The sequence below is a fragment of the Homo sapiens genome, chromosome 2, assembly GCF_000001405.40.
Source record: "Homo sapiens chromosome 2, GRCh38.p14 Primary Assembly".
In the NCBI taxonomy this organism is placed as follows: Eukaryota; Metazoa; Chordata; class Mammalia; order Primates; family Hominidae; genus Homo; species Homo sapiens.
This window is the reverse complement of record NC_000002.12, coordinates 158,733,762-158,746,296: the sequence shown is the minus strand read 5'-3', so window position 1 is coordinate 158,746,296 and position 12,535 is coordinate 158,733,762. Positions and strand designations below refer to the sequence as shown.

Below are 12,535 nucleotides of genomic sequence, written 5' to 3'. Positions count from 1 at the left end.
GTGTCATCCCCTGGGGACAGCTCCTAATCTGTGTTGTGTGGCAGCGACATGGTCATGGGAGGGAGGGTGAAGTGGACAGGATCTCCAGTCCTGGGAGAATGAGCCCCATATGGGAAGACCCAGCCAGGAGTGCCCGTCAGGCAGCTGCAAGCATCTCCTAGCACTGAGAGCTCGCGTGGGTTTGGACATCAGCAGGAAGGCTCAGCTCATCTTTCCTAGGTACCTTTCTTACTTCTGAAGACAAACCGAAAAGTTTTTTTCTTTTGACAGAGGCTAGAAAGTGTTAGAAAGCTGTCCTGGTTGAGCAGGTCTGCTTCAGTCTAAGGACTCCGTGAGAGGTGCGTGGGATCACAGAAAGCCAACTTTGAGAAAGTAGAAGCACAGTGGAGTCTACTCAGGAAACACAGCATTTCTGGGGTCTTTCTGTTGGTGAGGGAAGGAGACAGGTTGCTTACTGGAAAGAGTTTAAGACAGCGGCCTCTAGGTGGTGCACAGACCGTGATAAATACCTGAGAAGAGGATGAGATTTTTGTCAGTGAATCAAGCTTCATGGCTCAGTTCAGAAGCAGGGGATTTTTGTAAGGATGCTACTCCCTGCCCCAGCTGAAGGCAAGCCCTAAATATGAACCTCCTGGAGTCGATTTAAAGATGGCAGAGCTTTGATCATCTTGATGACAATGGGGGGAAGGCATCACAGCTCCCTGAGGATGCCGCGGAGCCATCAGCTGTGGCCTTTCCCGCCAGGAGGGAGGTGAAGTGCGCCAATGGAAACATTCAGTGCTCGGAGAAGAAAAGGCCTATTGTTACTCCCGGGAGGGTGTCAGTGGGGGCGCTGGCTGAACGCAGTGGTGGAAGGGGTGATCTCTCAGCCGTCAGGAGAGAATGCATTCAGGCCCTCAGCTCTAGGAGTGTGTTTTTCCCCCCTCCTCTTTTCAAGCCTGTATCATCTCAGCAAGTGCCTCAAGTGAGCAGCAGACAGGACAGAGGCCAGCCACTGGGGAGGCAGGGCTGGAGGAGCAGGCAGCTCCTCTCACCCTCCCAGGGCCATTCTCATGCAACACACAACCAACACGCACACATGCAAAGCCCTGTGAGGACAGACTGACATGGCCTGGAGAGTGCGGCAATCCATTGCTGCAGAGAGTGGAGCAGGCGGCGCTCACTCTCAGTGCCCAGGTTAGTTCTGTTTTTCTCCATTACACCACAAGGGCTCAGTCACTTCACCTATGCTGAGCAGGTCTATTCATGATTCTGTGCAAACTGGGAGCACTTAGCTAGTTGGTGACATGCATTTACGGGAGGCCCTCCAAGGGCCCCATGCTTGACTCAAGGCAGTGGTGAGGTGCAGAGGAAGCAGAAACTTCTGTCTCAGGCTTCAGGAGGGTACAGTCTGGAGCTACACTACCCATTATGGTAGCCACTGGCCATATGTGGCTATTTAAATTAAAAGTAGCTAAAACAAAAAATTCAACTCCTAAGTTGAACTAGCCATGTTTCAAGTGCTCAGTAGCCACATTTGGCCAGTGGCTACCATACTGGACAGCACAAAAACCATTTCCATCCTTGCAGAAAGTTCTGCTGGACAGTATTGTGGCATTTTGGGCATCTATGGGAACGATATAAGGCCACTTACAAAGGTGGAAATTAAGAGCAAATCAATGGGGGGAAATTAAGGCTCAGACGAATTGTGTCTTCCAGCCAGTAAGTGGTCTTCTGATTTCTACTCCAGAGTTTAGAAGCATCCTGAGGATGGTCTTGACCCTAATACATGAAATGTTTGCATTTGGGGTGGGGAGTGGGGTTGAGCACTAGTGTGGTGGTGGTGGGTTAGCTATTGGAATAGATTTCAAGGTAACTAGAAGCACGCTCTCTAAGCTGTAGCCCCCCAGATATGTGAGTGATTCATTTCTGGTTTCACTTCATCTGTGGTATTCTTCCCCACCTTCTGCCTTCCTCTCTCTTACTGTATTTACTCTCTCTTACTCCCTCTTATTGTATTTACTATGTGTCAGGGGCTGGGCTAAGTGCTTTCACACATCTCATTTAATTCCCACCACCTTCTGTGAATTGGAATTGCTGCCTATCTAAGCAAGAGATCCATTTCCTCTCCCCAAATATGACTCCTGCTCTCCCCAGCCCTTGGCTGTCCCAGTAAGAGGACTGCACTCCCAGCTCCAAGGGAGGGCTTCACTGATCCAAAAGGAGTCTTTTGTGATCAACAGGCTGAGGAACACAGCTCAAGGCCAATCTCCTTGCCACAACAATTTGTTGAGAAATGAGGTGTGACTTCTTTGGGCCAATAGGAAACAAGAGGAAGTTAGCTAAGTGCTTCTGGGAAAGAAGTTTGCTTTATCTTAAAAGAGAGTTACTAGAGATGTGTCTTTCCACTGACTTCCTAGTGTATGGATATAAGACCTCATCCATTTCTGTGCTGCTCAATACATAGCAGAGAGAAGAGCCAAGAACTCGCAGAGAAAGGGTGCGGGAGGGCCTGGAAGGGGCTATGGCTGGTGCTCTGGGCTCAGTGATGCCAGCCAGTCAACCCCTTTGTTGTTTCAGCATTTAGCCTTAGGCTTTCTGGGATTGCAGCCCACAAAACACCAAATGATCATTCCCTTCTGCAGATAATGAAACTCGGGCTAAGAGAATTTGATAACTTGCCCAGAACTACCTAGCTAGGAAAAGGCAGAGCCGGGTTAGAAATACAGATATCCTTGACCCCAGACACATGCTCTTTTGTTTATCACACTGTTTCTTCTCTGCATGAACCATGCTGGTATTTCAAAGGACCTAGGGGAGAAACCATGAAGACAAAACTGAAGAAATCAGACCTCTGAGGCCCCAAGAATACTCTTTTACCTCGAATATTACCTGAGAATGCTCTGATAGTCTGGTTTTTATAGGTAATTGCAAACCAGACTTTAAAAATTCATTGGCAGCTAGAGTTGATGGTCCTATTTATTTCTTGCTTTTTCCCAGGGCCCTTAGGGAACTCTTTTGGGCTTTTGGCTTTTTTTTTTTTTTTAAGAGTGGATGAGAAACTTCTAGACAGAACTGCTGAAATCCCTGCCTTTCACCAGGTGAATTAAATTAAATACCTTAGCTCTTTTAAGCGTTCAGCCAACTGAGCTCCTGGGCAGCCAGATCTCACCTTTACCCTTTGCTTTTATTTATTGCATATCCAGGGAGTTTGCTGGTAAACCAGCAGGTGACTCGACTCCCTTCAATGTTGGAAAGCTGTGGTTGCTGCCTTAGAGACTTTTCAGTCTTTCAGAATTCAGTCAACAACCCCGGGGAGGGCTGTGATTCTGTCTTTGTCTCTTTGTCACTCTTCTGGCATCTCTCAGCTCCCTCCCCTAATGGTGCCCTTGACCTTATTTAATGAAGGTCATCCTTCTTGCAAATATCACTTTAAACATATCAGGCACTGATCAACTGAGAGATTTCCTAGCAGAAAGGTCACAGCTGAAAAGCATCATCTTTCCCTGCTCCCCTTAGCAATTGCTCTGGAGGAGATGCCTTGGGGGAGGCGGAAGTTGCCCACACAGGAAAGCCCTTGGAGTCTGTTGGATTAGCATCAGCTGCACTCCTGCTGCTGCACAAAACAGGAGCACGGCTGAAACAACACTGCCTTCGAGAACTTTTGTCTTGGCCCTGGTGGAAATGCTAGCAGTGGAACATATCTGTATCTGTACCAGGTTGCAGCAACCTCAGTTCTTGCCTCCTCCTCAGAAGAAAGAATTTGACTGAGGAGCGTAAGACAGAAGGAGAGACCGAGGGAGTTTTAGAGCAGGAGTGAAAGTTTATTAAAAAGCTTTAGTTAGCCCTGTGTGGTGGTGGGCACCTGTAACCCTAGCTACTCTGGAGGCTGAGGCAGGAGAATCACTTGAACCTGGGAGGCGGAGGTTGCAGTGAGCCGAGATTGCACCACTGCACTCCAGCCTGGGCGACAGAGCGAGACTCCATCTCAAAAAAAAAATAAAAGCTTTAGAGCAGGAATGAAAGGAAGTAAGGCACACTTGGAAGAGGGCCAGGCGGAATGGCTTGAGTGGCTACATGCCCTGTTTGATCTTTTGACTTGGGGTTTTATATGTTGGCATACTTCTGGGGTCTTGTGTGTTACTTCTCCCGATTCTTTCCTTGGGGTGGGCTGTCTGCATGCTCAGTGGCCTGCCAGGGCTTGGGAAGGGAACATGTAGTGTGTTAACTGGAGTTGTACGCATGCTTACCTGAGGCATCCTCCCTTACTAGGCTAGCATTCCTAGAGGAAGGTATATACCAGTTAAACTCTGCCATTTTGCCTCTTAATGCGCATGCTGGAGCCCACTCGCCCAACTCCTGAGCTCTTATCAGGAAGCTGCTGCTCACCAGTTTCAAGTGTTTTCTATTTATTGGGAGCCTGCCTTTCCCTGGCACTGGCTGTGACCAATTACTATTTTAGAGAGTTAACAACCGCCTGACCATCACCTGATGGTCGCCTGACACTCCTGGTATGTGTGTCGGGGAGCCCTCTCCTGCTCGGCTCATGCCTGACTAGCTACCTACTGTAACAGAAGGAGCTGTTCACTTTGAGAACTAACAACCTGCAAAACCTGCTGCTTTCAATGCTTAGGCTTCATGGCCGAGTTGTTAGACGTTTAAAGTTGCAAAGCTTTCCTCTCATCCCCAATGTCCTCTGTGTTTGCTGTCCTTTTCTGATTATTGAAGAACCATATGGATTTGACTTTTCCCCAAAGAAAAGATCAAGGGTTACCAACCCATTTCCTAACTAGCAACAGGGCCACTGGGCAGCTCTGAACAGGACGAATTGTACCTAAAGATCTGAAGTAGGTGAGCCCTCAAGCTTTAGCCAACCCAAGTATCGGGCTCCCCTCAACCACAGGATGAAAGGTTAGTTGAGTAGGAGACGTGGTCTGCTGTCCATAGACACCTTCGGGCTTGGGTGCCTTCCAGAGACTTTCGGACCAATACCATTGGACTACTGTGTTTTTCATTCTCTTAAGTGCCTGCTCTGCCCCCAGGAGAGCTTCCACCCTGCAAACACAATCCCAGAAGCCTCCCCATCTCCCACTATAAAGCAATTCTTATGTGCATGAGGGAGAGAATGTGCAAGAGGACTCGTGTTGAATCAAAAATGATAGATTCTGGCAAAAAGTCATGCTTTAATGATAATGATAATGAGGGCATCATATTGTGAGCCTGGTTCTAAACCACGGTAACTCTGCACTATTTCCACACTAAGAAGATTTTATTGACTCTTCTGGGATCGAGATTGGGCCATGTGTTCCTCCAAGAATGAATTAACACGAGGCAACCATAATCCCCGGGGAAGACTTGCAGGGGTGTCCTGCCCGTTCCCTTAAGTGCTAGATGACCACTTCAGCTAGCATCTGGCTTTGTGATTCTGTCCATCAGCAGGAACCTCACTGCAACAGCATTTGCTGGAGAATTTGGAACAAGAAGACCTCGTTGGACTTTATCCAAGGGGATTTAGTCACTGCAGATCTAAAACTCCTCATAAGGCTGTGGCACAGTTCCAGAACCTGGCTCCAAGGAAGAGGTCATACCAGATACCATGTGTGTGTGTTTGCATGTATTTTTGTGTTGTTTGTGGGAGGTGTGTATGTGTCACATGAGTGTGTTTGCAGATATGCCTGTATAGTATGTGTTTGAGGGGTATGTGTGAAGACAGAAGATGCTCAGCTGCTTACAGTAGACACTCACTGTATGTGTTGAATTGAGACTGGGGCCTCCCCATCACAGCCTCCATCTGGGACAGAGGCTCAGAGATGCTGCCTTCCATTTTTCTCTCACCCCTCCTCAGAAAGTGCCTCAGGCTTGTTTGTCTCTGTCAGGGCAGGTCCCCATGCAGATTAGCTAAAGCCAAAGGGTGACATGGATTGCAGCTTTGTCCAGCCGAGGCTGCGGCTCTTCCTGGGAGCCTTTCCTCAAATTCCAGATTCCTTGCTCAGCCAGCCGAGTCCATCCATTTCCGTCTCAGGCCCTTCCAGTCCTGGTTTCCAGAGCAGTTCCTATTTCCTGCGTCTAGCCTGCATCATCCCTGGGTCAGGGGTTCAGGCTGCCTTTTAAATCTTTTTTTTTTTTTTTTTTTTGAGAAAAGGTCTTGCTCTGTCACCCAGGCTGGAGTGCAGTGGCATGATCACTGCTTGCTGAAGCCTTAGACCTCCTGGGCTCAAGCAATCCTCCTGCCTCAGCCCCCCCAAGTAGCTGGGACTGCAGGGCTGAGCCACCATGCCTGGCTATTTTTTTTTTCTGTAGAGACGGGGTCTTGCTATGCTGCCCAGGCTGGTCTTGAACTCCTGGCCTCAAGAAATCCTCCTGCCTCATCCTCACAAAGTTCTGGGATTACAGACATGAGCCACTGCACCTGGCCCAGCTGCTTCTTACTTAGCATCTGCAAAGTGTGGAGCTGCAAAAGGCATTCAAGATGGTTAGGTCCAGCCCCTACTTTTATTTATTTTATTTATTTTTTTAATTTTTATTGTGATAGCTTTTGGGATGCACGTGGGTTTTTGTGACATGGATGAATTACATAGCGGTGAATTCTGAGATTTTAGTGCACCCATCACCCAAGTAATGTATGTATACATTGTACCTAAGGTGTCATTTTTTATCCCTGGCCCCCCTTTCATTCTTCCCCTTCTGAGTCTCTAAAGTCCACTCTATGACTCATGCCTTTGTATACTCAGAGCTTAGCTCCCACTTCTCAGTGAGAACATATGGTTTTTAGTTTTCCACGCTGGTGTTACTTCACTTAGAATAAAGGCCTCCAGGCCGGGCGCGGTGGCTGATGCCTGTAATCCCAGCACTTTGGGAGGCCGAGGCAGGCGGATAACGAGGTTAGGAGATCGAGACCATCCTGGCTAACATGGTGAAAACCCGTCTCTACTAAAAATACAAAAAATTAGCCAGGCATGGTGGCGGGCACCTGTAGTCCTGGCAACTCGGGAGGCTGAGGCAGGAGAATGGCGTGAACCCAGGAGGTGGAGCTTGCAGTGAGCTGAGATTGCACCACTGCACTCCAGCCTGGGCGACAGAGCGAGACTCCATCTCAAAAAAAAAAAAGACTAATGGCCTCCAGCTTCCTCCAAGTTGCTGCAAAAGACATTACTTCATTCCTTTTAATGGCTAAGTAGTATTCCATGGTGTGTATATACCACTCATTAGTCAATGAAGCCCCTAATTTTGTAAGTTAGGAAACGGGAGCAAGAATGGCCTCCAAGGCACGTAGCTGGGACCGGAGTTTTAAATCATGTGACAATCCCCCACCCCCACACATTATCATTCCTGCTTGCAGGATGACAACCTTGATGACAAGGTTAGAAACTGGAGTCTTATCATCGGTAGGACTTTCCTTAAATGAAGGTCTCAACCTCTATCCTGAACAAGTGGGATCTTGCAGAATGGACTCAGGGGCCCGGGTTGGGCAAGGCTGATCCGTGAAAGAGAGTCTAGAGGCAAAACTGAAGTCACAAACAGGCACAGACTGATCAAGATGTCTCAAAGATGCCTTCAAAAAGGTAAGGCATGAAGAGGCAATCCAGGTATAAGACCTTGGGATGGCATCAGATTTGACTTCGAGGCTGGGAGGGGGTTCTGAGAAGTGGGGTTCTGAGAAGTGGCCTTCTGCTCCCGCAGGGCTGCAGTGGTCACAGTGATTGGGAGGGGTTCTGAGAAGTGACCTTCTACTCCCACAGAGCTGTGGTGATCACAGTGATTGGGAGGGGTTCTGAGAAGTGGCCTTCTGCCCCTGCATGGCTGCAGTGGTCACAGTGATTGGGAGGAGTTCTGAGAAGTGGCCTTCTGCTCCCGAAGGGCTGTGGTGGTCACAGTGATTGGGAGGAGTTCTGAGAAGTGACCTTCTGCTCCCAAAGGGCTGTGGCGGTCACAGTGATTAAGCGGTGCAGTGGCTTTTTCTTCCCTGTTCTTACAAAACTGGTTACCTCTTTAAATTCTTAGCTCCACTGAGCTCAGAATCCACCATTTTTTTCCTATTAATGTGGAGTAGAAACTTGTTATCTGGCTCAATATTAATCTGTTTCAAAATCAGCATCAGCACGTCTATTTTCCTAAGTGCTTAATAGAATGAACAACAACTGCCCCTGTCAACTCCCAGCCCAGCGTTCTTCCTACCAAACCAAGCAGCTTATTGCCCACACAGAGGCTGAGTTCATTGAAAAATATTTATTTTTTACCTTTCTGTTTTTACCCTTCTGGCATGGCCTGTGAATGAAACCGGGAGCTGGGGATTTTGTGAGTGTTTCGAGTCCATGTAGCTTCACGACGAACTGCAGGTCCTGCAGCAGGGAGGGCTGGGCAACCAGAGCTTCTCAAGCTGACTCATGCTCAGCTCCATTACTCTAGGATTCAGTTTCTCCAGTTATAAAAATTATGATAGAGATGGAAAGCAAATTAATTGAATGAAGGATGGTTTTCAAGGGCCCCCACTGCACTTGCACAAGCAACTTTCAAGAACTGCAAGCCATATATCTATAGTTTTATACTCTTTTTCTTAAAGAAAACCCCTAAATTATAAATACACAAGCTTCTGTAAAACCTGCTCTATCCCCAGAATGGCATCCAGCTAGTTCAGGGGCACTAAGGGTTCACATTTTGAGAGAAAGGCTAGAAACCATGCCTGCTCTTCTCTGCTTTTGCCAACTCCTTTCTTTTTCTTTTTTTTCTTTTTCTTTTTTTTTTTTTTTTTTGGCCAACACTAAAGAGTTGGAAATGTTGCTATCAACAGCAAACTAACACCAGATATTTATTAACATGATTCTATTGGAAAAGCCACAGAGCTTTGGGTTACAGTGATGTCTATTATTGATGAAGAGATGAGGAGCTTCCACTGTGAAAAATAAAACTAAGCTCATATAAAATTCAACTTGGCTAATTTGACTTGAAGGTTGCAAAGCTGGAGGAAGCCAGGAAGAGGGAAAAAAAGAACTAGGAAAGGCTATGCAGTCGAGAAAGTTTGGGAGACTGGTCTATAGGGCAGGAGGAAGTCATCCCCTTATCACTGGGCCCCTTTGCTCTATAGAGAAGACACTGCCCAGTACCTGTTGATGTTCTGTGTTGCAACTGAGAGCACAATACAGAAAAGACCCCTGTCTGTGCCGCAAGACTGCATGTTGTGGTATGAAGGGCTTCAATCATTCACCATTCATTCAACAGATGTTTTCGTTAGTGTTGCTAGATGCTGGAGACATTATGTCGAGCAAAACAGATGTGGCCCTGGTGTTCCAGTTTGGAGAAGACACAGCCAAGAAAAGAGGCCAGTGCAATTCAATGTGATGTGTGCTGCAATAGGGCAGATACAGCGTATTAGGGGAGCACAAAGAGAGGCATCTGATCCAGCTCTGGGGAGTCAGGAAAGACTTCTCCAGGAAAGCGGGGATCCATCTGAGACCTGCAAAATGAGCAGGCATTCACCAGAAGAAACGAGAAGCGTGTTTAAGGTAGAACAAAGAGGGAAGCAGTCAATGTTTCTGAAGCATCATGGACCAGGTGTGTGGTGGAGTCATGGGAGAAGGATAGAGTGGGCATTATTTAAGCAGATGCTGGCTCATATCGGCTTTGAAAACCTTAGGAAGGAGTGTAGACTTTATCTCAAAGGTAATAACTTTGTGATATCACCCAGATGTTGTGGGGGAGTGGTCTAGAGGGAAGCAAGGCTGGGGATAAAGAGGCTAGTTAGGAGGCTGTGACAATGGAGGCAAAATGTAATGGGGCCCTGGATGGAAGTTGCAAATGTGGATGGAGAGATGAATAAGGATTCAAAAAATATTTAAGAGGCACAATAGACATGCTTTGATAGTTGGTTAGAAATGCAGTGTAATGTGTCCAAGGAATCTAGGATGACCTCAGACACATTTGACTTGAGCAGTTGGGCAGCCAGATGGTAGAGCCATTTGGAAAGACAGTGACTCCAGAAGGAACAGGTTTAGCACTTGTGAACTGAATTGGCCATTAGGTTAAAAGGAGGCTTCAGAATTCACAGAAGGTCAAGTTGAAAGGCCCAAGAAAAACTGACTTATTAAAGTTACAGAGGTCAGGTCAGAGGAGGAAAAGACAGGAGGTTGAGAAGTTCAATCGAAAAGGCGTTCAGATGAGAAAAGGAGGCTACAAAACCATATGTACAATAAAATACACATGCACATGATAGAAACAAGGAAAAGATGCTAGAGAAATCCATATGAACACATTAGCAGGAATTATTGCCTCATAGTAAGATCACTGGTGATTTGTAATTCCTTCTCTTTGCTTAGCTGTATTTGCAAAACTAAAGGTTGCACAATAAATGTGTGTTCTTTTTGTAATAAAAACAAAAGGTGTTTTTGAAAAGTGGTTATGCAGGTGAGGGAAGAATACGGAAGAGCTTTTCTTTTTTTTTTTTTTTTCAGGCATAGTCTCGCTCTTTTGCCCAGGCTGGGGTGCAGTGGCACCATCTCGGCTCACTGCAACCTCTACCTCCTGGGTTCAAGTGATTCTCCTGCCTCAGCCTCCAGAGTAGCTGGGATTAGAGGCAGGCACCACCATGCAGGGTTAATTTTTGTATTTTTGGTAGAGATGGGGTTGCCATGTTGGTCAGGCTGGTCACTGGTCTTGAACTCCTGACCTCAGGTGGTCTGCCCACTCAGCCTCCCAAAGTGCTGGGACTACAGGCATGAGCCACCCCACCTGGTCTAATACTGAAGGGCTTTTAACTTAAAGTGAAAAACTTAATTGGAAAGGTTTATAAAAGTAAAGCTCGTGGACAACTAACCTGATGTACTGTCTCACAAACTTGGTTGCATATTGAAATCACCTGCACAGTTTCAAAAATACTGTTCCTGGATCCCACGTCCACAGCTTCTGATTTAATTGACAGGAGGTGTGGTCCGAGCCTGGAGATTTTTGTAATGCTCCCCAGGTGATTCCAATGTTGGCAAAGATGGAAAACCACTAATGCAGTTAATGAGAAGGAAGAGGGATAACTTTTTAGACTAGCATTCTGAGTTATTTAAAGGAGTGAGAATCTTGGGGGAGAAGGTTCTCAGTGAGGCCATAAAGCGGGGTCAAAGGTTGGCAGTGAGATGGCACCCCAGGGTCAGGCATGAGGTCCATCCCACAATATGCTCTTAAATGACAACCTAGTGAAGTGAGCTGAGCTCAACCTTAGAAGGACGCTCCAAGAAACTCTGCAAAAAATGGGGACATTTTGCGCATAAGGAAATCTGAGGTCCTGCCAGCTTTGCCGTGGTCAAGAGCACGTAGCAGCTGGTTCCATATTTAAAGGCAAGCGGCTCTCACATCCTAAGGTATTACCCAGCAAAAGGCAGCCTCAGGAGGCAGCCCACTGAAGACCTTCAAGTCCACGAAGACAATGTATGGATTGTTCACTAAAACTGAGGAATGATTTTCAAATAATCTGTCGCCAGAGGGCCAATCCAGGCTTCAGGCTCCAGTGTGTATGGAGGAGCTGCCACTGCAGAGACGCTGGCTTAGGGGGCTGGGGGATGCCTCCTTTGAATTCTGGGCCCACCACTGACAACACTTCTCTTCTTGGGTGAGTTATTTCATTTCACTGACCTCGCTCTCTTTATTTGTGAAAAAGAAGATAGTACTACCTGTTACACAGGTTTCTCAGGATTAAATGAGCTCAGGTTGAGCTCATTGTGAAAGCAGCTATTCGGTTTTTTAAAATGTGATTGCCATTGTTTGAAATAGCAAAAGAGGATATATCACTGTTAAAGTCTGTCTGGACGGCAGTCTTGCTGTATCATTTCCACCTCTTGCGTGACATTTTTTCCTTTCTTATTTAATTTTCTAAATTCTAAAGTACGGCGGCTAGAGCAGACAAACTGTTCTTTTCTTAGTAGATTAATGGCATTGAGTACATAGCCCTTAAAAACATAAAGTTTAAAAGCAAAAGCAATGGCCGGGCGTGGTGGCTCACGCCTGTAATCCCAGCACTTTGGGAGGCCAAGGCTGGCGGATCACTTGAGGTCAGGAGTTCGAGACCAGCCTGGCCAACATGGTGACCCTCCCCCCGCCCCGCCCCGCCCCACCCCACCCCATCTCTATTAAAAATACAAAAATTAGCTGGGCGTGGTGGCATGTGCCTGTAATTCCAGCTACTCAGGAGGCTGAGGCAGAAGAATTGCTTGAATCCAGCAGGCGGAGGTTACAGTGAGCCGAGATCACTCCACTGCACTCCAGCCTGGGTGATAAAGCGAGACTCTGTCTCAAGGAAAGGAAAAAAAAAAAGCAAAAGCAACAAACTCAAAATTTTGTTTTTTAAGTAAAATATCTTGATGTTAGTAATCACCAGAGTGAAGACAATGGTTACTGAAATTTCAACTCTAAGAGAAAAGGCAAAAGGCAATTATAGCAAAGTATGGGCAACTTCCATATATATTTCATTAAATCTGAGATGCCTTTTATTATAAGATATGTTCATTTTCTATATAGTTAAGGAAAAAAATAGTTGCAAATTAAACTATGACACAATGCTTTCTTTCCTGATACAATG

General features: G+C 46.6%; 1 long non-coding RNA gene across 1 annotated transcript in view, besides 2 other annotated features; it reads left to right on the top strand.

Moving 5' to 3' along the window:
* Positions 488-988: an enhancer, noted in NCBI's record as "H3K4me1 hESC enhancer chr2:159601821-159602321 (GRCh37/hg19 assembly coordinates)". NCBI's record gives its function as "activates a minimal SCP1, AML or CMV promoter by ChIP-STARR-seq in naive and primed H9 embryonic stem cells {active_cell/tissue: H9 hESC(naive and primed)}" and the evidence as "EXISTENCE:reporter gene assay evidence [ECO:0000049][PMID:30033119]".
* Positions 989-1,489: an enhancer, noted in NCBI's record as "H3K4me1 hESC enhancer chr2:159601320-159601820 (GRCh37/hg19 assembly coordinates)". NCBI's record gives its function as "activates a minimal SCP1, AML or CMV promoter by ChIP-STARR-seq in naive and primed H9 embryonic stem cells {active_cell/tissue: H9 hESC(naive and primed)}" and the evidence as "EXISTENCE:reporter gene assay evidence [ECO:0000049][PMID:30033119]".
* PKP4-AS1 (PKP4 antisense RNA 1) overlaps positions 11,295-12,535 on the top strand; it is a 76,666-nt gene continuing 75,425 nt past the window's right edge. Inside the window, exon 1 of the long non-coding RNA NR_135242.1 lies at positions 11,295-11,569. This is a non-coding gene — a long non-coding RNA (PKP4 antisense RNA 1). The remainder of the gene's footprint in view (positions 11,570-12,535) is intronic.